Below are 24,593 nucleotides of genomic sequence, written 5' to 3'. Positions count from 1 at the left end.
CATGACACATTGAATCACCCACATAACAGGTTTCTTTTCTCTTTTTCCCCCACCTCTTAGCTTATTCTCCACCAATGGAAAACCATCTACTCTCTGGCAACAATGGCACTTTAGAATATAAAACCTCCCTGCCACCCATCTCTCCAGGAAGGTACTCACCAATTCCAAAGCACATGCTTGTTGACGACGACTACACCAGGTCAGATATGCCTGTTAGTTAATTGGATTTGCTCTTATTACCAGAAAGAAATCACATTTGCCTAACATGTCAGGTGTTGTTTTGGATGCTAACTAAAGCTTCTGGGTCCCATTCAACCTTATTGTAGTTTTGCCTCAGGTGCATTGCAACTGTGTCATTGTCCTCTGATAGGCAGCAAAATCACAAAATATTTGTGAATAAATAGTAAGATACACTTATACATCACTTTGCCATTTATTAAGACTTTCTATATCTGATCACATTTAAGCTTTACAGCCATAGTGTAAGGTAAGTATTAATACTTGAGAAGAGAAGATAGTGCTGAGATTCAAAAGGAAGGAAGTAGCATGCCAATATTATATATTTGGTTAGTGGAATTCAATGGGTAAATGAATAATAAAGAAATGTAAATGTAAAAACTTTTTGTCTTTAACTGGTCATTACATTTGGCAAAGGAATACAAAGAAGATCAAGGAACAAAAATTTCCCCCAAACTCCCTCCAGAGTGACCTGTCCCAGGGTACCCAAGGTGACGACCTGGCATAAACCTTTCATACCTTCTCCATGTTCTTACAAACATATACAAATGTATTTTCAGATATACGTGGGGCCTGACATTATTTTTACAAAATGAGTTTATGTTTTACACATTGTTCCACAATTTTTCTCCATGAACAATACTTTTATCAAAAATGAGATTACATGTATACATATGTGTGCTTAATTTCGATATGTGTTTGTGTGTAAAGAATGATAGATGGGTTGTTTTGGTTTTATACCCTGCCTGTCTAACTGAAGTCATTTGTCAGCCTTTCAAAAAGTAGAGACTTTCTGCCGGAGAGGAAAGCTTTCCTCACTGGTATATGTGGATGCTTTGATCTTTCTGTTCTTTGGTGTATCTTTTTAAATGATTAAGCATTTTCCATTTATTTTGCAATATCAGGTTTGCTGAAGTAGCTCTTTATATCTTTAGCCAAGGAATGGAATGTTTAGACGCTGAAAATGTGCATCCATGTAAATCAAATACAAGCTTCTTCCTATGCTGAAATGTCTGATCTCTATGCTCTTAATTAAAATGAGGGCTGCGGCAAAGATAATCCTCACGGCTCTCTAAGGAATTCTGTAAATACAGGCACCTTTATCCACCAGAGTGATGATCTCTTTGCTCTCATCCTATTACTAATATTTGATATGATTTTAATTTAGAAATGTCACTTTATGTTACTAGGCCCCATAGCGAATTAACATTTATTCAAGCCCCTTCATAATCCAGACCCTCTGCTAGCTGTTTTTATACACTATCCATTTAATCCTCCGAAAAACACACAGAAAAAGGCTTTCATCTCCATTTTAGAGATGTAGACATTGAAGTTCAAAGAGGTTATGGAACTTGCTTATGGTCACATAGCTTTTATTAATAAGTAGAAAAACTGAGTGCCTTAACAGCTTTAAAATCCTAGCTAAGAGAAAACGTTTTAATTTTCTAATATTAAAAATGAAAACCAAGTCATATAAAACTATGTTCATCATAGAAATATGTGGCTAGAAAGGGACCTCAGAGTTTTGATGAGCTCTAAAAACAACTAGACCATAGTTGAAACCTACCTCTACCACTGACTGTGTGACCCTGGGCAAGTCATTTAACCTCTGCAAGCTTCAGTTTTCTCACCTGTACAAGGGAATAGAAAGTGAGTCTATCTCAATAGGTTGTTGTGATGATTAAGTGAGCTAATGAATGCAAAGAACTTAGAAAGGTGCCTGGCACATTATAAGTACTCAACGAATGTTATCTATTTACAGTAACTATACTTACTGTAATCTTAATCCACTTCAGATGTCACATGAAATATTTTTACGGTACACGTGAGATATGCCTCAATATCTTAGATCCTGCCCCTGCCTCCTTTCCTGTTCCCCTAGAGGACAGTCTCACTAGTATTTCCCTACAAAATCAGAATGGTTGGTGCCTGGCAAACTGTTAAAGTAAATTATGTTAGTTCACACACATAAACATACACATACACACCCCTCCACCACTCTCTTACCATTGTTGGTGTTCTCTCATAGGTGCTTCACACTGTAGGCGTTACCATGGGTCTCAGAGGTATTTGCTCAGAGGCAGATTCACTTTCTCATTCATAAATATTAATTGAATACTTCCTATAAGACACCTGGTGCTGCACTAGAGATGCACAAATGAATAAGAAATAGCATCTAAGAACTATTCAATTGAGGCAAAAAAAAAAAATGTGTAAATCAATGGATTCCCCAATGCCTGTTCCCTAATTTATGCAGAACCCCCTCCATGAAGTTTTCCACAAAGCCTAATTTATTAATTTTTTTCAAAATCTTGAGATTATATATTTTGTAATCAAAATGCCCTTTCTTTTGTAAAAGAATTTGGCAATTATTTATTATGTTTTTACTTAGAAGAGAAAAATTGGCAACTTTTTGTTAGTCTTCATTTTTTAAATGTTAACTATCTGTAAAATTCAAAAGTCTGAGAATTACTAACAGAAGCAAGCAAGCAAAAGTAGGGTCAGTTCTCTAAAGTGCCCTTATGTAGCACTAGCAGAGTTCCCTAACACCACAAGAGACACTTAGGAAATACTGCTAAATGAGTATGAGTATTACATGAATGCCATAGGAATAACCTATGGCATCAAAGAAAGTTTTAAAGAGGATATGACTCTAATTAGTACTTGAAAACTGTGTAGGCATTGGTCAGAGAGTCAAGAGATGAGGAAGGGCATTTGTGGTAGTGGGATAGATTGTGCAGACTCACAGAAGAATGTGAAATAGAATAAAATGAAAGCAAGAATTAGAACTTGAAATATAAGACTCACAAAGGAAAATGGTACCTACCTTTGGATCATCTTTATATTCCTGTTCCTTCTCTCCTATGCACCCTAGCTGTAAGATTAACAATACATAGAGTAATAAAAACAAAAGGATCATTACTATTCACCGTTAACAATAAGTGCTGTAATATATATTATTGCTCCTATATTATTTATATGATATTCTTATTCTTGATTTTTACAGATTAAAAAATTCTCAGAGAGGTTAAGTAATTGCCTCATAGCATACAGCAATCAAATAGAATCAAAATTTGAATTCAGGTCTGTCTGTTTTCAAAGGCCCCATCCCTGCATCCCTGGTTGGTAGTGCTCGTCCTACCACTTACTACCTAGATAACTCTGAACAAGTCAGTTCATCTCTGTGAGTCTTGATTTTCTCATCCGTAGATTCGCTATAAAGGATCTTCTAATTTCTTCATGGAATTGTGAAGTTTTAATATGTTAACATGCACGAATGTTGTCATTTTTAGAAGGCTCTGTAAATTATTATTCTAAGTTCATTTAGGTGCTTATGTTTGAGACCTACTTTGTATTTTCCTAAAATAGTAAATCAAGAAAATAAATCTCTAATAACGGAACTTGGGCCAGTAGGGAAACATGTCTGTGAAATGGGAACTTTCCCATAACCTATAAAATCACATCAAATTGGAAAACTTTTGTTCCATGTATTCATATCTTAATCTATTGTAATAAATGTTTCTCTACTTTCCTGATTTATAGTCACGTTTGTTATGGATGTACGGTAAGAATTTTAAAGCAATTTTGATTCAAATAATTCTACAATAACCTAGGTAGATTTTTTAATCTATTTCTATTAAAGAAATGTACACCTGCATAAACTGGGAAGTTTTATTTTTCCATGAATTTAGAAGAAAAGTCACAAATAAAAAAAGTTTTGGATACAATCTCTTAGTAGCATGCTCACTGAGTCCCTATAAATCGGCATTCATTGTGATGTAGATATCTGATTTTCAATTTTTGGAAAATAAAGCTATTACAACAATACTGAGATTGTTTTTGTCTCAGGCATTATAGACTGTCAGAATAGAAAGGGCCATAAGTAAATATAGAGTCTAATCTCTCTTTCTGGTTGGGCCAGAGACACAGGGCCCAGAGTGATTTGTTGGCTTTCCCTGGTCCAGTATTTGTAAGTAGTATAATCAGATTTAGAGCCCATGTATATGTGCACTATTTTTTTGGCTGGAGTAAGAAAGTAGCAATTATGAAAAACTATCTTCAATCAAGGATTACCTGGTAACAGTGTCTATTTTGTATGTTACCGGTAACTATGAGTTCTATCTTTACTGGGCCAAGTTTTCCCTAGTTACTCAGAAGAGAGGCAAACCACACATCATCACTATCTGGCTGAAAATACTTAGGATATGCAAACAGTACTAAAATGAAACAAAAAAATTGGTAATGCAAAGTAAAACTACTCTTTCAAGATGTAGGGACCTAATTTCCCAAGTTATGAATGTGATAAATAGCATTATGAAACCCAGGGACCTAAATTATAACTGTAAAAGATATATTTCTCAGTGTTAGAAACCAAGTTTACCTAGCTGTGAATTTAGTGTGTCTTTCTGGCTGCCTCTACTTATTGGTCCCTCACATCATTTAGTTCATTAAAAAGCATCATATAAAAAAAGCCTCAATAAAGATTTCTTGTCCACAGACACTTTACAAGAACTGCCCCAAACTGTAACTCTAATATTCACCAGTTTGACTCTGTCACTTACTGAACAGACATAATCTCATCAGTCTGGAGTCCACATCTACTCTATTGTCTCCGAATTATAGAACACTAGCTTACTAGCCATGTCATCTAATATATATTCAAGTTGCCTTTTCTCCTTCGTTCAGTTATTTGCTCATTCAGTGAATATTCAGCTTCTACCCATGTCAAGCATAGTTATTAGCAACATAGTCACAATGGTGAACAAACTGGTCAAGGTGCTTGCCCTCATGGAATTTACATTTTAGTATATTGAATAAGAGATGTATAAATAAATGCATTAAGTTCAGTTAGTGCTAAGTGCTACAAAGGAAGTAAAATAGGATAATGTGATGAGCAGTGATTGGGGAAGAGAACAATATGAAGTAGGATAACCAGGCAGTGCCTCTCTCAGGAGATAGCATATGGACTGAGACCTGAATAAAAAGTAGAAAGTGGTGATGATTAAAGATCAGAGAAATAGCATTCCAAGAAGAGGGAATAGCAAAGCCAAAGTCATTGAGGCAGGAATAAGTTTACTGTGTTCCTGCAACATAAAGTCCAGTTTGGCCAGAAAGAGATGAGATAATGGGAGCAGGCAGAAAATTAGGTTAGATAAGGAAGCAGGAAGCAGAAGTAGGACTTCACAGGTAATGAGAAAGTGTAGGTCTAATTTTAAGTTCATTGAGAATTCATTGAAGAGTACTAATCAGGAAAACTGATCTGATTTATGTTTTTAAAAAAAAAAAAAAAAAGTTCTGGCTGCTGTGTGGAGTAGAGAGACCACTGGAAAAAAAGAGGGAAAAGATTATGACACCTGGGACTGAAGTGAGGGTAGCAATGGAAGAGAAGAGGAATAGAGAAATCCGAGCTATATCTCAGAGCAAGGTTTAATAGCCCATGTTCCACGTGAAGAGCAGACCTGGCTTAGTCAGACTGTTTTGACTACTGACCATTTTTATAGTTTTTATTACCTATGGAGTAGTCTTTCAGGAACAGCATAAGTATTTGCCACTGTTATTTGTTTCTTTTTGTTCTGTTTTTCTTATCTCTTATTGTTTAACTTTGTGGATTAGAACTGGTTAGAAGCCAGCCCACTGTTTGTCAAATGTTTCTACTCACATGCCCTTAACTTAGAAAATAAACTTGTTCTCCTCAGGCTCTGAGGTAGAACATGAAGATTTCTGCCCAAGCATAAAAACACATAAAATCTTGTATATTTTATCACAAAAGCTTGCAGAATATTGTTTGCTTTAAAGTAAAAATATTCTTATTACAAACTACGTTATTTTTCTTCCGAGTCTTAAAATGAAGTCGACACACCAGAAAGGTTTTCTGAAGATATTAGTAATCCCTGGCAAATACCACAAACCCCAAGGTACACTTAAGTACCCAAGTTTGAGAAACACTGAGCTAAGTTACACAAACTTGCCAATTATTAATTGTGTTTTATATAAACTGTCCCTTAATAATGGCTCAAGGTTTATGGTACCCATTAGGAACAAGCTCTCGAAGGATCAGACAACACCTCATCAGAGTACAGTACAAGCATGTTCTAGCCTCTCTTCTTTTTAGTTTACATTTAATGACTTAAAACCATTCTGAGTGAACTAGAAGTTTCTTCTTATACAGGAAAGAAATCTTTTCTTATATGCTTTTGATGCAGGATTTCTCTTGGCCCCTTCACTGGACTCGCGGTAGGGGCACCCTGTCTACTTGGCCCACCGTGCTCAACCCCTTGTGGGAGGGGGCATGTGAGTGAGTGAGTGTGGGATCCAGCTGGTTGCTTCAGGCACTGGCACAGGAGCAAGCTCCGTGTGGGGCCCATGGCCAGACAAGGCATGTCTCCTGGAGGGGAGCGTGGTGGCATCCAGGTGAGGGTGCCCATAATCCCATAGCCCCAGAGAGGGTGTCACAGTACTCTTTTAGTTCTGCCATTTGTAGACAGCAGTATGTTAGCAGCTCAGTTGGCCCCTTGCCTCATGGTGTGGGGCGGCTGCCCTCCTCTGGTGGTGGCAAGGTCTGGTGTGACAGCCTTTCTGAGTACCTGCACTCAGTGGTCCCAAGCTCTCGTCCAGCATCCATGAAGAATGAGGTCACACAGATGATTAAATGATAGTGAAGGCGGATAATTTGACTGAGCGATGAAAACGTCTCTCAGCAGGGAGGGGAGCTAGAGAGGGGACAGGAAGAACAGGTCTTCTTCCCTGAAGTCAGGCTGTAGTCAGGGTTCGCTGGAGGAATAGAAATAATAGGATGGATGCATAAGAGGAGATGGATGTATAAGGGGAGTTTATTAAGGAGGACTGACTCACATGATCACAAGGTGAGGTCCCACAATAGGCCATCTGCAAGCTGAGAGGCAAGGAAGCCAGTCCAAGTCCCAAAATCTCAAAAGTAGGGAAGCCAGCAGTGCAGCCTTCAGTCTGTGGTCAAAGGTCCAAGAGTCCCAAAGCTGAAGAACTTGGAGTCTATTGTTTGAGGGCAGAAAGCACCCAGCACAGGAGAAAGATGTAGGCTGGAAGACTAAGCCAGTCTAGTCTTTCCATGTTCCTCTGCCTGCTTTTATCCTAGCTGCACTGGCAGCTGATTAGATGGTGTCCACTCCAATTGAGGGAGGGTCTGCATCTCCCAGTTCACTAATTATTGACTGAGCCTGGAGTCTTTATATACATAGGATGAGGGCAGGACAGGCCATAGGTAGTTTTGGAAAAGGCAACATTTGATTGGTAAAAAGGCATTATCCAGAAAGAACCAATCAGGGGAGAGTGGGTGAACAGGAGTAGAAGTTATCACTTTGGGCCATGGGTTTCAGGCTGTTATTTTTGCTTGAAGGTGGGGTTTCACTGGTTACCCACCCCTATCTGCCTAGGCGTTTGGCTGCCTCCTGTCACTGTCACTTTTAGTCAAGTATGGTGGAAAACAGCTAGAGTACCCTAAGCAGGCAACTGACCCGGCTTTAGAATTACAGTAGAATAACAGAGTGATTAGGTGTGTGGGTCCTGGAGCTACCCTGCTTAGGTTTGAATCACACCATTTCCTAGCTGTGTGACCTTGAATCAGTTATGTAACTCCCCTTTGCCTCTGTGTTGCCGTTTATAAAAGGGGCAAAATAATACTTTCTACATCATAGGTTTGTTGTGACAATAAACTGAGTTAGTACATGTAACGTGCTTGGCAAAAATAAGTACCTGATAATTGTTAGCTGTTATTAATACTATTGAAAAAACAAGGATTTTAAGATGAACCGTGATACAAATAAAACCACTTTTTGGCAAATATCCTCAAATTATTTATGGAACTGTAGCCAACAATATTACGCAGCTGCTCAAACATGTTGTAATCTACGTATATGGATTTTTCAACTTATTTATCTTGTAGAACACATTAGAATATTTTATTACAGAGAGTCATATAGTCTGACTGCTTTATTGAGAATCTTAATTTTTATGACTACAATGAATATCTAATACCAGCTGCAATGAAAATCTAATACAGAAATCAGTGGAAGCAAATATGGTATAAACTAGTCTATCAGTTTTCCCTCTGGCTAAAATATGATTTTTTGATGGAAAATTTGTTGATTTTGCCCTTTTAAAAAATTCATAGTGACTCTCAATAGCTAACTCTAGGTAGCTTTTCCCTTAAAAAGTTCTGCAAAACATGACATCAGACTCCTTACAGACTTTACAAAGTTCATTATAAAACTTAACCAAATTAAAGGTTCATGAACAAATGTCTCTGAGATTTTGTTTTGCTCTGTGTTGCATTTCTGATTTCTCCAACATAGAGACTGGTACTATAATGTATGTTTTGAAGCAAAGTGTAGAAATGAAAGGGGGGAGTGAGACAAAACTAGTGAGACAGATAGATCATTATGTGGAAGCCTCAAGGAGAGTTTTCTCTTTATTAATGTAAATAAACAATAAAGAGAAAACTGACCACACAAAACTTTAAACCACATAGGTTTACTTATATAAACCATGAAGAATCATTCATAGAACTATCCTACTAGAAGTAGGAAGCAGAGAGAGTGGGTATGCTAATGGCGAATCTAACAAATCTTAATTCAAGGGGAACATCCAAATATATATTAGAAAACACGTTAAGCTGCTGTTTGCTTTCAAGGAAATAAATATTAGCAAAAATGCAACACTAATGAGAAATTTAAAACCGGCTCCTATAGATATTTATCATTTCCTATGTGCTCATGAGTTAGCCAGACATAAACACACAACACTATGCTCTATAATTTTATGGAAATGGTAATTGCATATACATAGCTATTGTTGCTATACATGTAAAATTTGAATAGTAATTTAATCAATGTTGCATTACATTTTTAATGGAGTAAGTTCATCCTTGCTTTCATTCTTTAGTTCATTGATGCAAAAAAGGATTGATGATAGGCAATGGAGAATTTTGGAGGGACCGCTGTAGAAGCCAACCATCAGTTGGTCCCTATCCTCTTACAAGTTAACCACTATCATGAACACAATGTGAAGCTTATTTCTGGCCATAATCTGTATGACACTGAAAGAGGATTTATACTGTGACTCAAGAAAATAGACATGGTCTGTTCTTCTAGGAGTTTATTTTCATGTTCATACATCCATAAGGTGATAATATAGGACAAGAAGATATCTGATTCCTAATTGCCCACAGATGTATACTTTAGCAATTGTCCATGACACTTTGCAATCCCTGGGTGATTTCCTGCCATCTCATATATCAGTGGTCCCTAACCTTTTTGGCACCAGGGACCACTTTCATGGAAGATAATTTTTCCATGGACAGGTGGCAGGGGCAGGATGGGTTTCCAGACGAAACTGTTTCATGGTTCCACCTCAGATCATCAGTCATTCAATTCTCATAAAGAGCATGCGACCTAGATCCTTCGCATGTGCAGTTCACAGTAGGGTTCGCTCCTTTGAGAATCTAATGCCAGGGGCTGATCTGACAGGAAGGGAAGCTCAGGCAGTAAAGCTCACTGCTCACCTCCTGCTGTGTGGCCAGTTCCTAACAGGCCATAGACCTGACCAGTTGAGGACTCCTGTCCTATATCATTAGCTGCTGTGGGTGAGTTTACTATATTAATATTAGTAATTACCTGAACAAAATATAGGAAAATTGTGAGATACAATCATTGCATTCCAAAGACATTCTTACGACACTATCAATTTATAAATTTCATAAGTTTTGGGTTATGTCGTTCATTTTTTACTTCTAGGTAATTGTATTAATATAGATAATGGGGCAAACTATAACTGTGTAAAAACACATCTTGAAAATACTGCTTTATATATGTCTCCAGATATTTTTTCCATCTTTATATCCATTTGCTTTTTATTACCTACTGATCTACCTTATAGCCCTCCTTAATTTTTTTCTTTCAATGTTTTATTTTTGTCTAATTTCATTTTCTCTGATTATAAAAGTAATATATATTTGTAGAAAAACTGTAAAATAAAAATATAAAGAAAAACTACTAAAATTACTGTTTTTCCTACCACAGAGAGATAATTACTTGAAATATTTTCCTTTGAGTTTTTTCCATGTCTGTATGTTTATTCATGTAATTTGGACCATACTATGTGCAATGAGAGAGTTTTTGCTTTTATTTTTTGCTTTAGCATTATATCTTGAGAATTTTCTAATGTTCTTAGTCTTCAAAAACATGTTTAGTAGCTGTATAATAGCCTATCGTATAACTGAACCATAATTTACATAAGTACTTTCCTATTAATAGACATTTATTTTTAGGATTTTCTTATTGTGCTTATACAATCTTTCTGCCTTCATCTCTTGATTATATATGTATTTAATATAAATGCCAAATTTCCACTGCCTAATCAGCATCTCACTTGGTTGTCTTATAAACATTGCATATTTAATATGTCCAAACACAAACTCTTGCTTTTTATTCCCAGTCTGTCCTTCCATAGTCTTACTCTCTTTTTTTTGAGGCAGGGTCTCACTCTTTCCCCCATGGTGGAGTTCAGTGGCTCGATCTCAGTTCACTACAGCCTCAGCCTCCTGGGGCTCAAGCAATTCTTCCACCTCAGCCTTCCAAGTAGTTGGGATAGCAGGCATATGCCACCACGCTGGGCTAATTTTTGCATTTTTTGTAGAGACAGGGTTTCACCATGTTGGGCAGGCTAGTCTCGAACTCCCAAGCTCAAGTGATCCCCCTGCCCTTAGCCTCCCAAAGTGCTGGGATTACAGGTGTGAGCTACCACACCCAGCTTGTCTTCCTCTTCTTAATAAATGACGGTTCTATGGGAGCTGTTGCTCAGGTCACAAACCTTGGGGTTTGCCTTCTCTTTTTTTCCGCCTTTCATATTCTATATGCAGTCCATCAACAAATTCTGTGGGTTTTACCTTCAAAATACATCCACAATGTGCCACATTCCACTACCAGCACACTAGTCAATTCATATCATCTATCATTTAATTATTGCAATAGCTCCCTAAACAGCTTCCATTTTTGCCTTTGTTACTCATGCTGCACCATACATTACTCTTTTAAATTCAGATCACGTCATCTGGAGTGAAATCTAAAGCCCTTATTTATGAGACTCTTTATGATTTGACTCCAGCTGGCTGCTCTGACCTCATCCCCCACCACTCCCTTCACTGATACTCAGACTTCCTTGTTACTTGATCACAGTAGGCATACTTTGCTTCAGGAAGTTTGTGCTTGCCCCTCCTTCTGCCTTGAATGTTTTTCCCTTCCACATCCACATGTCCACATGGTTTGCTTTTCTTTCTTCACCTCTCTGGTCAAAAGCCATTTTATCAGAGAGGCCATCTCAGACCTCAGATAAATATGAGCCATCCACGATCACCCTTTCGTCCTGTGTTCCCTTTTATTTTTCTCTCTAGTGCTTATTCCTGCTTGACATCATTTTTATTTGAGTATTTGTTTGTTGTCTGTCATCCTGTACTGGGCTATAAGCTTTATGGCTCAGGGACTTATCTGTTTTGTATATTGATTAGTCCCAGCACAAGTAAGAGTGCCTGGAACATATATAATACTCAGTAAACATTTGTGTACTGAATATAATATAATTAATGAACATTTACAGAACTCTTGATATTGCTATCAGATTGATTTGAATTTTTTTGGTCTCAGTTTACATTCCCATCAGCTGTATATGGAAATGCTTGTTTTAATACTGTATCTAATTTAAATGCTTATGTCTCTTAATTTATCTTTAATTCCCATGTTTTCTCTTTCTCCTTTTCCTCTACATTTCTTTTCATTTATTTTGTTAATCTCTCGTTTCATTTATTCAATCTTTCACTTTCCATACTTTGATTTATTCAACAAATATTTGCCAGTGTGTAATATCTTCAAAAAGACAGCAAAGTGGAAGTGTGGAGGGGGGGGCAGGCAAATAAACCCAAAAATATAATAGAGGTGATACATGCTGTGTTGGAGAGCAGTACTGAAAGCTATGTGGAGCTCAGAAAAGGCATCTAATCCAGACTGATGAGTCAGGAACAGCTTCTTCCAGGGGGTGACTGAGATTGGAAAAGAACAATAGGAATTAGCCACTAGTATCTAAGACTTCCTTGTGACAGCTTCAGTAGGGTCCAGGGTATAATGGGAGACAATATTGTAAAAGTTACATGCAAGGATACTTAAGCAGGAGTTCTATTCATTCTGTGGCCCAAGCCATTTGCTTATTTTTGTTTGTTTGTTTGTTTTTTGAGACAGGGTTTCACTCTTCTTGCCCAGGCTGGAGTGCAATGGCACGATCTCAGCTCACTGAAACCTCGTCTCTCGCATTCAAGCTATTCTACTGCCTCAGCCTCCCAAGTAGCTAGGATTACAGGCATGCACCACCATGCCCAGCTAATCTTGTATTTTTAGTAGAGGCAGGGTTTCACCATTTTGGTCAGGCTGGTCTCGAACTCCTGACCTGAAGTGATCCACCCACCTCAGCCTCCCAAAGTCCTGGGATTACAGGCGTGAGCCACTGCACCTGGCCATTTGCTTGTATTTTTTACAAACAATATTCAGGGCCAGAACATCCTCAGTTATAAGCAGATATTAATTAAATACTTCTTAGAATTCATAAGAATTGTGGTAATAGTGATAACTGATATTTGTGTAATACCTTTCAGTTTACAAAGTGCTTTGATATACATTGGTTAATTTGCATAGTAATTCCAGGAGGCAGCTATAATTACCCCCTTTTACACGTGAGGTAACTGATGTTGACTAACCCAAGGCTGACTCAGCTGGTAAGTGATGGAAGCTACAAGCGATAAAACATTATATAAAATGTACAGTCCATATAGAAAATAAGAGGTAAATAGATTAGGCTTAACATCTGGGAACTAGTCTCCAAATTATAACTTATAAAACTTATGGTGATTAATCCCAGTTGTTTTTAAAGGTCCATTATTGAAGGCCCTACCCATAATCTTGTGTAATTCAATTTTTTTCAACTCTAGTATTTCTAAGATATTTATTTTTTTAGAGGCAGGAAGGTAAGTGGAAGGAAGTAGCATGACTTTTGGAACTGGATAAGTCTAGGCACATGTCAAGGGGGAAACACGAAGATATTAGTCAAAAGATACAAAGTTTCAGTTATGCAGGATGAGTAAATGCTACAAATCTAATATACAGCATGGTGACTATAGTTAATAATACTACATTGTATCCTAGAAATTTGCTAAAGATTAATTAAAGGCTCTGCCATTAAATAGTTCTATGACCTTGCACTATTTATCCCTTGGTTTCTTTACCTGTAATTAAGAGATAATAACTTAGTTGGCAGGGTAGTGTTGAAAAATAGAGATACCATGTGGAAATCAAATAACTGGCATTTAACGTATGTTAAATTGCTTCCTCCTTCCCCATCCTCATAGGAGCAACAATTCTTATTTTTTATTGTTGATAATCTAAAAAGACATTAATCCAAGAAAATGGGGGTAAGGAAGGGAAAAGATCATTAGAGTTAAAACCTATTTGTGTAGTTATCACATACAACATGGTATTGAATCTTAAAGAGCTATGGGAAAGGAACACCATTTATTGAGATCTGCTTGGTGCTGGATACCTTTCAAATATTATCACATTTAGTCTACAATCTCAGTTAGTTTACTTGGTTTCTACAGTGCTTTTAAACCCATTAGAGAAAAAGAATGTTTCATACTCTCTTGTAAATTATTTCTAATCAACACTGGAGACCATAGGGACAACAATATTAGAAAAAATGTAAAAATTCATTTTGAATTAATGTTAATAATTACTGTCATTTATTGAATTTCTACCATATATATGCCAGTCTATGCTAAGTATTTTCCATAAAATATCTCAATTAATTTTTGAGATTGGTGTTATTATTTTCACTTTATGCATGAGTAAGCAGAAGCAAGAAAGATTAGTGAAAAGATAAGTATTTGTCTAGCATAACAATGTGTTAGACACTCTAAGTATATAAACCCATTAACCTTCCCATCACTCCATGAGGTAAATCCTATTTTTATTCCCACTTTACAGATGAAATCTAGGCACAGAGCAGTTAAGTCCTTGCCTGCATAGCTAGTAATGAGCAAAGCTGGTGTCTAAACATAGGCAGTTGGGCTCCAAAATCCATATCTTTATGCTATTAACATGCAGTTGGTATATAACAAGGTCAAGAATCAGACCAACTCAAGTATGGCTTTTTTTTTTTTTTCCAGTACTACATAGGTAGCATTATTAACTTTAAGATTTCTAGAATTTTCTCTCTGTTTCAAGCTAGTCTTGGTTTTTCTTTTACTTAGAAAGGTAGAACTAAAGTTTTATGTGGTTGCCTCCTCCCAGAAACACAACCTGTTCCAGAAAGCAATCAACTTCCATGGAGTGCTGGGTGGGGAGTCAGTCCTTAATGCCTGTCATTCTGGCCATTACATAGACCCCATGTGGCTGCCTTAATAAGCATTTGCTGAAAGAACTTAGCTGTGGTTGTGAGGGTGTCTCACTGCATGTAAACATTTAAATATCCACCCCCATCCTAGGTTTTCTTTAAAAAAATTGGATTGACCTTGAAGTAGAACAATGTGAGTCCTTTCTCATGTATACTCCTTCCTAATGGGAATGTTATCAACTGATCCATTGGAGCCTGAGATTTTATTTTTTGTTTTGCTTTAATCTTTTTCTAAAGTCTCATTTTCCACCTTGAGATAAGAGATGAAGGCAAAACGAAATAGCTGAAATAAATGTGATAGTCAAATATTTCAAAGCCAATTTTGTGAAGCCTTGCTCTGAATTTATAATAGTACTAGTAAACTGTCACAGCTATCTAGTACTGCACAGATACTTTCCTGTTTCTCATTTTAATTCCTATGACTTTATACAAAATGGACGGAGAGATGCCATTATATCTGTTGTACAGATTTGGAACCTGAGATGATAGATTCCATGATTTCGCCTTTGACAATTAGAAAGTAAGTGACAAACTCAGAAGCCAGAAGCCAGAAGGAGGATAACATCTTGGTTAAGAGAACAGATGTTAGACTCAAAAGAGTCTGGGCTCACCATTTACTAGCTATTTGACTTTGGATGAGTTATGTAACTTCTTTGTGCCTCAGTTTCCCCATCCATGCCTATGCCACGGGTTATTATCAGGATTAAATAAATTAATCCATGTAAAACACTTCAAACAGAGCCTGGCACAAAATGAGCTACATTCAGGGTGGCCATTATTATTATTAATGTTGACTTTTAGTCCAGGAAACCATAGTCATTATAGGACTGGCTTCCGCTGTGATGATAGTTGAGCTAGCTGGGAGTGGTAGAGTGAGGTTAAGAAGTGAATGCGGGGGAAACACTCTTACAGCTAGCCTAATAAAACATACATTTACACTACACTTGTACCTGTATTAAGAATAGATTTTGTGACTTTATATTGATTCAGTGATGTTTTCTCTATATTTCAATGCCTTTTAAAAACATATACTGATGTTAATTAAGAAGAATCTGTCAAAAACCAGGCCTAATTGTAAAAGTCATGCAAAAAGAAAAGTCTATGTTAAAGAAACTGATTATTCATTTAAAAACTTAAAAAAAAAATCTAGAATGTTGAGTAATCACAAATATTTGCATTCCCCAAATATTCAGATTTCCCATTCAGGTATCATAAACTTTAAAAAGTAAATGCAGTGGTTATTTTTGTAGACCATCATTATATGAGCACAGAAATTAAATATATGCATAGCAACATCTATCATGACGCTTTCCAGTTCCTAGGAGTGGCATTAATTCCATGGCTTCACTGCATAATATTAGTTTCGATCATATACTGTCGAAGTTTCATACAGAGTATACATCTAAATCCATATAATATTGAGAGTAGCTCTAATAAGGTTATACCGAATTTAAATTTGTGAGAACTAAGGGAAACTATGTTGGAGTTGCAACTGAGTGTGGCACTCACAGTGAGAATGTGGTCTGCCTGACTAAAGCAAGGTAGGGCTATCCCCAGAACCATTGTTTTCTGCAGCTTAGAGAGAAATATTTGTTTAAATTCTGCTAACAAAAATTTTTTAAAAATTATGTGTATGTGCACGTGTGTGTATTCGCCAGTGAAATAATGAAAGTCACAATTTTTTGTCTTCCCTTGAAAAAAGAACTTAATATTTACACTCTACAAATATTAACATTTATCCATGGAATATAATTAAGTCATAATAAGTTAGCACAATAATTTGTATTCTATAGTACCGAAAGAGTTAATGTCATTCAAAAATGTGACTATTTCCGACCTTTTTCAAAAAGAGCGGGTCTAATTGTAGTTCTCAACTCTGATAGCCCATTAGTCACCTGTGAAATCTCTTTAGAAAACAGAGTCCTTAGCCCCATGCCAGATCTACCAAATCTGGATGTCCAGGGTGGAAGTGGGACATAAGTGTCAAAAACAGAACTAAAATATCCACAGGTGATTCTGATGCACAGGTAGATTTGGGAATCACTGTCTTAAATTCATTGTGTCTTTGACCTCAGAAAATCATATTACCAGAAGTTGGCTGGGTGTGGTGGCTCAAGCCTGTAATCCCAGCATTTTGGGAGTCCAAGGCGGGTAGATTACCTGAGGTCAGGAGTTCGACGAGCCTGGCCAACATGGTGAAGCCACATCTCTCCTAAAAATACGGAAATTAGTCAGCAGTGTTGGTGGGCACTTGTAATCCCAGCCACTCCGGCGGCTGAGGCAGGAGAATTGCTAGAACCTGGGAGTCAGAGGTTGCGGTGAGCCTTGATTGTGCCATTGCACTCCAGCCTGGGAGACAGACTGAGACTCTGTCAAAAAAAAAAAAAAAAGAGAGAGAGAGAAAGAGAAAGAGAAAAGGAAGGAAGGAAAGGAAGGAAGGAAGGAAGGACGGAAGGAAGGAAGGAAAGAAGGAAAGAGAAGGAAAATCATGTTACCAGAAGTAACAGCAAAATGCAAAAAGTAAAAGCACATTAGAAAACACACACACACACACACACACACACACACACACACACAGAGGCATTTCTCTCATAGGATAAATTTTCATTAAAATAGCGGACGACCCTAAACCACTGAGACTACTAGTGATAATGTGCAAAGAAAATCATTGCTCCTGAGCAAGAGTTACCAAACACAGAATTTGTACAACAGTATTTAGATTTTATAACTAAAGGCATCAGCTATTTAAAAACACCTGTAGCGGATATGCACTTCACTCTATAAATGCATTTTGACAGAGCATTATTTTATTTTCTTTAAATCCAAATATATAATAATAGGCTCTATCTTGCCTGCCTTTTCTCTCAGAGCTCACCCTGAGCATCAACAGTTTAGGAGCTCAGATTTTTGAGGAACGAAAACCTGGAAGAGAGAAGTCTTTGGGAAAATTCTGCTTTTCTTCTGTATTACAGATCTCTACTGAGGCAAGGGAATATAAAGGTCTGGTTATCTGCTTCACACTTGGGAAGAAAAAACAGGAAGCTCAAAACTCACATTAATATTTCAGTTATCCTACTCCCTCCCACTTATTTTTGTATTTATTTATTTTTGAGACAGTCTCCCTCTGTTGCCCAGACTGTAGCGCAATGATGAAGTCTTGGGTCACTACAATCTCTGCCTCCCGAGTTCAAGCGATTCTGAAGCCTCAGCCTCCTGAGTGGCTGGGATTATAGGCGTGCGCCACCATGTGCCACCATTATGCAAAAGCTATATGTAATATCCACCGTGAAAGTTTGTTGTTGTACAGATTAAAGGTGATGGTATTTGTGACCATATAGTGACTGAGAAATTTGGGGACCCTCCATTCTTGTAATAATCTAGAATTCAACCATTTCCCTCCTCTACTTCACCATCTAAAAAACCCAATTCCAGATTTTAGGCAAATCACATAGATTTTATAGAATATTTCTTAAGGAGACAAAAGGGAAGATAATGGGGTGACTTTGCTCCAAATTCTATATTCTGTATACCACCCTGCTGCACGGAGTTATTCTGGGCTGACCTCAAGATTCTGTGGAGCCCGTTGGCTCTTTGATATTTTGACCATTACTTTTCACTGTGCCTGGCTTTTATTACAACTCTAGCAGTTTTGTTGCCTGGTGTCTATCTAAGCTGTGATTGGAATGTATTGTCCTAAAACTTCTCTCATCTGTTGAATCTATTCCGGATTGGTTAGATATAATAGACAGAAGGTTTGGCTCTATTGCTAGTCTTTCTAAAAAATCTCTTCCATCTAGTTCTGTTATTCCCTGTGTCCTCATTCCAGTAGTTCACTTAACAGCACCTCTGACTTCCATCGGCTATACTGGGCCAGTCAGGATCGGTAATAAAGCACAGTTTTCTCTAGATCCTCACAATAGGCAATTAATGCTGTCTTTCTTGGGCTTCATGACTAGTCATCTGTCCCTCAGTTTAATTTGTGATCTTACTCAACCTGCATGAAAGACTTTGGCCAACAGTGTACAAGAAAACAGCTCTTATTTATTTATTTACTTACTTTTCAAAAGGTTTTGGCGGAACAGGCAGTGTTTGATTATATAAATACATTCTTTAGTGGTGATTTCTGAGACTTTAAAAGAGCATAAACGGGAAAGCCATATGTATGGTTGCCTTAAGAATGTGTTTTGTCAGTGAGGGAAGAGTGTCTATTTCCCTCCCATAATGCTTAGTCATTTTTAGCTTTATTTTGTCAAATACATACACGCATCTCCAAGACGAAGTAATGGTTGAGGGAAGAATTTATGTCAAGAGCAGATTTTTATCTTCCATATCACATAGGTTAGTATCTGGTATATAAATATAGTTGTTTCCTGAGTATGTACCATATGGCAGGTGATTTGTGAAGGCTTTGCGTATATTATCTCATTTAATCCTGTAGCAGTCCTATAAGGTAGATCTTAAAAGGCCATTTCCAGATAAGGCAGCCAAGATTCAGGCAATAGAGATACTTCCCTGTAGTCACACAGATAGGTGGAAGAACAGTATTTGAACCCAGATCTTCTAGCCCAAAAGCTTGCGCTCTTTCCACCATGTTCATAGCCTCCCAATGTGTTTTCTAAGGGCAGTAAATATGTTGAGTGAATAGATGCACCAGTAAAAAAGACTATACTTGCTGTAAATTTGCTTTAATTTTGTGTCATCTTTTCTATAAAATGGCTGTAGCTAGCACATAATTTCCCCGAAGTAGACTAAACTTTAAGTAGAATCTTGTTAGTAACAGAATATATTTGCATAACTGAAGACATTTGAGATTGACAAATTTAAATAGCAAATATGGTGATACCAGTTAAGCCATCTTGTTAGTCATAACCAGTTATTTATAATGAACTTTCACTATTCTCATAATGCCATGTTAGTTAGTACCTAGGCACTACATAGAAATAAAAGTTGCTCATTAATAAGGAAACAGTACTAATTTGAAAAAATACATATTTTCTGTTTCTGGGTTAAGAATGTGTGGATCTTTGGGGCTGAATTGAAAAGTACCCAATACATATCCCTAACAGTCCTCCCCTGGAGTTACAAGAAAAAATAGTTTTTTCCTCCAGCTTTATTGAGGTATAATTGACAAATTTTTATATATTTAAGGGGTACAACTTGATGTTTTCTTGTGTATACATTGTGTATTAGTCCATTTTCATGCTGCTGGTAAAGACATACCTAAGACTGGGCAATCTACAAAAGAAAGAGGTTTAATGGACTTACAGTTCCACGTGGCTGAGGAAGCCTCACAATCATGGCAGAAGGCAAGGATGGCAGCAGGCAAAGAGAGAGAACTTGTGCAGGGAAACTCCCCCTTATAAAACTTTCAGATCTCATGAGACTTATTCACCATCATGAGAACAGCATAGGAAAGACCTGCCCCCATGATTCAGTTACCTCCCACAGGGTCCCTCCCACAACACATGGGAATTCAAGATGAGATTTTGTTGGGGACACAGCCAAACCATATCACATTGTGAAATGATTACCACTACCAAGCTAATTAACATATTCATTACCTCACATAGTTACCTTTTTTGTGTGTGTGGTGATAACATTCAAGATCTATCCCCTTATGGGGTACAAAAAATATTTTTAAAAAATTAATTTAAAATACAAAAAAAAATTTAAGGAAATCAAAAGTACCCATAATCCCGCCATTCAGAGAAAGCACTATTAACATGTTGGTAACTTTTCCATATTAACCTACAGATGTACAGATATGCCTCTTACAAAATTGGCATCAAACTATATATACAGATTTATAACTATTGCTCAGTTTATGTCATTAATAATTCTTAATGTCATTTAGAAAACATGAAATAGTGGGAGCAAATAAAAATTTTATGTAGACATATCATTCATAAATGATATTGAACAAATTCCCTGGCGTATGCTTCTAGACTCTTTTTAATCTCATTCTCTACTAAGTAAAATTGGGATCGTACTTAATATTTTTTATTATTCACAAAAACTGAATCAAACTGTATATATATTATTTTAACTCGATTTTTTCACTTAATAATATGGTGTGTCTATCTTTATATGTCATCAAATTTACTTACATAGGAAAGTTTTTAATGCCTACATTAAAACTGTATTCAATGCTAATGAATTTTTTTCACTTAATAATATCTTGTGGCTGTCTTTTTATGTCATCAAATTTACTTACACAGGAATGTTTTTAATGCCTACGTTAAAACTATATTCAGCACTAATGAACATAAATATTTTTTCCAGTGGTTTGCTTCTACAAATGCTGTGACAATGACAATTCTGTGAACACCTATTGTACTCAGTTTTGTAGAACAGATTTCTGGAAGTAACATTTCTGAACTGTAGGTTCAGCAGTTTATACTACCAACACCAGTGTGTGGAGAGTGTTTTTGCAGCCATTAAAGAAAAGGTAGCCGGTGCCATGTGTACTGACACAGAAAAACGTCTAATATCCAATGTGAAATTTAAAAATAAAAGCAGTGGCATAATATGTATAATATGAGCAACTTTTATTTTAAAATTATCTATCTGCATGCTTATGTATAGATTTGAGTATAGATGTGTATATGGGGATAGATATAAATAGAGACATCTTAATGAGCACTGAAAATACAAAATTAAGCACATATGCTGATTTAAAAGCATGTAGCAGACCGGGTGTGGTGGCTTACACCTGTCATCCCATCACTTGGGGAGGCTGAGGCCGGCGGATCACCTGAGGTCAAGAGTTCAAAACAAGACTGGCCAACATGACTAAACTGTCTCTACTAAAAATACAAAAATTAGCCAGTCATGAGGGCACGCACCTGTAATCTCAGCTTCTTGAGAGGCTGAGATGGGAGAATGGCTTGAACCCAGGAGGCAGAGGTTGCAGTGAGTTGAGATTGCAACCCTGCACTCCAGCCAGCCTGGGTGACAGAGCAAGATTCTGTCTCAAAAAAAAAAATTAATTAAATAAATAAATTTTAAAAACAAATAAAAGAACATAGCAAACTAAAGGGAGAGTCAGAGTAAACAAGTAAATTTTATTACAGAGTAAATGTATATGCTGGAAGGCAGGTTACTAGCAATGCATGGGAACTTGCAAGGTGATGGGGCTGGCAGATTGCCAAATAAGGATGCCCAGTTAAATTTGAACTTAAATAATAATCAACAATGAATAAGTTTCAGTATAAATGTGCCTCATGTAATAGTCACGTATTTATACTAAAAAATTATTTGTTATGTTTCCAAAATAGAAATGTAACTGGGGCATCCTATATTTTTATTAGCTAAATCTTGTAACCCTAGACATGGCCAGAAACATGGTTTTGTCCTCATAAGAGGGAATCGTCTCTCATGAATGAATTCACATCCACAGACATGACAAGAGAGATGTATAAACCGGATGGCCTACAGCCAGATTTCCTATTTAAATATCTATAGTAGTCAAAACATTTACTGATTGTCTTCTAGGCACTGTGCTATTCATGCATCATTTCGTCTAATACTCGTAAGGCCCTAAGACCCAAGCACTATTCCTGGGTTAGGGGAGGAAACTGAGGCATAGAGGTAAACAACCTGCCCAAGATCACATGTCTTAAAGGAATAGGGCCGGACTTGAATCTAGATAGTGAGAATCACAGTTTGTTTCCTCTGTCCTATTCTCTATTGCCTTTAAAATAGGAGGTATAATTGCTAATATGACCAAGAAATATAATCAGATCACTGAGGGCAAGTATATACTACAGAAAGTGTTTAAAACAATGACAACAGAACACTTAGTGGTTTGAACCCAGACAATCTGGGTTCAAAGCCAAGCGCTACCACTCACAAGTCAGGTATGTGAGGAGGGGCAGGTTAATGCCAACCTTTGCAGATAATAGTATTGCATATGTCTTAGGTTTCATGGGAGGATTAATAACATCGGGTATATAAAGCATATGTAGCACAGGGCCAGCTTCATAGTAAGTTCTCAAGATATATGTGAGTTGTTATTATTATTTAAAATACATCAAAGTACAAAACCAAGTGGCAATCATGAAGAAATACTGTATGGGAGTTAAGAAGAGAGAAAAATCTACAATCAGGTGTACTCAACAGACTTTATGGAGAAAGTAGGAGTTAGACCCTGATAGAAACCAGGGACTTTCTAATGTTTAGGGGTGGAAGGAAGGACCAATATATGTAAAGGTGCTTCTTAGCAAAAAGCCTTCTCTAAAGAGAGCAAGGCAGTGCTACAACAATCTCTTGTTCTTATGCATGTCTTATCCTTCCCTCATGGCCACCAAACAATCTTCATAACCTGTTTACAGTAACAGGCACAGAAGACTAAATGGAAACAGCTGCATGAAACAGAGGGAAATGTACCTCTTCCAAGGAATGTGAAAGAAATCCATTTAAGTGATTCGATTAAAGCCACCTTATCCTTCCTGTTCACAAGTAGAGAATTATATCTGAACATTATTTTGCCATCTAGGAAGCTGCTGTTATATTCAGTCTTAGCATCTATTCAGTTAAAGGTATAAGAGTGTTCCCCCCTGTAGAGTTTGTCTTAGTAATGTAAAATTGGCCTACAGAAGTATATAGATGAATAAACATTTTGAATTCTACTTTAGAAAATGTGATTTTGCTAAATATATTCAGAAATTCTTGTGGGGGGTGTGAATTTTAAAACCCAAAGCTTTATCAGATTTGGCAACTTTAGGTGTTACTAATGTCAATCATCCTCGAGCCTCCGAGGAAAGAAAAGAATTATTTTAGAGGTAGAGTATTTATTCTGTAATATTATATTTTTGACACCATGATAAAAAGAAAGAAATTGTAGGTGATATTAAGCTTCAGACCTTCTCTTTGGGGGCCTTTGTAATGTTCCTCACACTTTCCTTTCTCTTTTGTTATTTCCAAGTTTTTCTCAAAAAGGAATGGCCTTGCTTTTTTTCTCTACACTGTGGTTTCATAGTACTGGCTAAGAATATGAAGATGTGGGGAGTATACTCAACAGAACAAACCTGAAAATACCAGTGGGATACCCAGCTTAAACAATTGTGCCCTGCCCACCGGTCTGCTGAAAAAGCAAACCAAACTCATAAGGACCAGGTCACTCATCTGCTAGCGAGAGCTGAATAGACAGGGAGTGTACTTGGCCCAAAGGATGCCAATCCAGAGGCTAACAAGTAACCAATAAGGTGGTTTACTCAAAAAGGTGTACTAAGTCCAACAAATACTCAGTTAGGAATGTTTAATTGAAAAGCAGTTCAACCGAGGCAATGATCAGTGAAAGGGGAAGCTAGTGATTTATGATGTAAAGGAGGCCCGATGATCCATTGTGAGTCTAATGCCAGCTGATGTCATTACAGAACAGAAACTGAGGGCAAGAAGAAGCTATCAGGTAGAAAGTATCTCAATTATAAATTAGAGGTCAAAGTGGTGATTTGAGACAGAAGGAACAAGTAGCACAAAAGAAACAGCGTTATCTTGAAGGGAAAGCTGTAGAGATCCAGCTCCTTAGATCTCACTCTTCCGTATTTATCACACAGCTTTTTCTGGGTTTCTATGCACATGTGTCCTGTTACCTAAAGTAGATTAAATAAGTCTCTGTTCCTGCAATCAGATTTCCTTACAAACAAAATGTTTGTTCAACAAACAAAGGGACCATTTTTTAAATTGTTTTACTATATACCTGCCACAAAGTAGGTTTTTGGTAAATATTTGTGGAATGAATGAATGAATGAATGTACAAATGAATAGCCAAAATGATTGTACTCATTTAATTCCAACTAGTAGGAAGAACACTGTCTTCCATAACTTCTTATCAACTATGGATTTTAAAATTGTACTCAAGACCTGCCTAACTTTTCAATTATCTACTCAAA

General features: G+C 36.9%; 1 protein-coding gene across 52 annotated transcripts in view; it reads left to right on the top strand.

Annotated features, from left to right (window-relative positions):
* DLG2 (discs large MAGUK scaffold protein 2) overlaps positions 1-24,593 on the top strand; it is a 2,173,362-nt gene that overhangs the window by 1,665,290 nt on the left and 483,479 nt on the right. For all 52 annotated transcript variants that reach the window (NR_165353.1, NM_001351274.2, XM_017017256.3 and 49 more), the window contains one exon: positions 61-199. Coding sequence is in view for 51 of the 52 variants with exons in the window: in NM_001351274.2 (NP_001338203.1) it covers positions 61-199 (139 nt within the window). In the remaining variant the exon portion in view is untranslated. The remainder of the gene's footprint in view (positions 1-60; positions 200-24,593) is intronic.

The sequence above is a fragment of the Homo sapiens genome, chromosome 11, assembly GCF_000001405.40.
Source record: "Homo sapiens chromosome 11, GRCh38.p14 Primary Assembly".
Classification (NCBI taxonomy): Eukaryota; Metazoa; Chordata; class Mammalia; order Primates; family Hominidae; genus Homo; species Homo sapiens.
The sequence above is the reverse complement of the archived record's forward strand: the minus strand, read 5'-3'. Positions and strand labels throughout refer to the sequence as shown.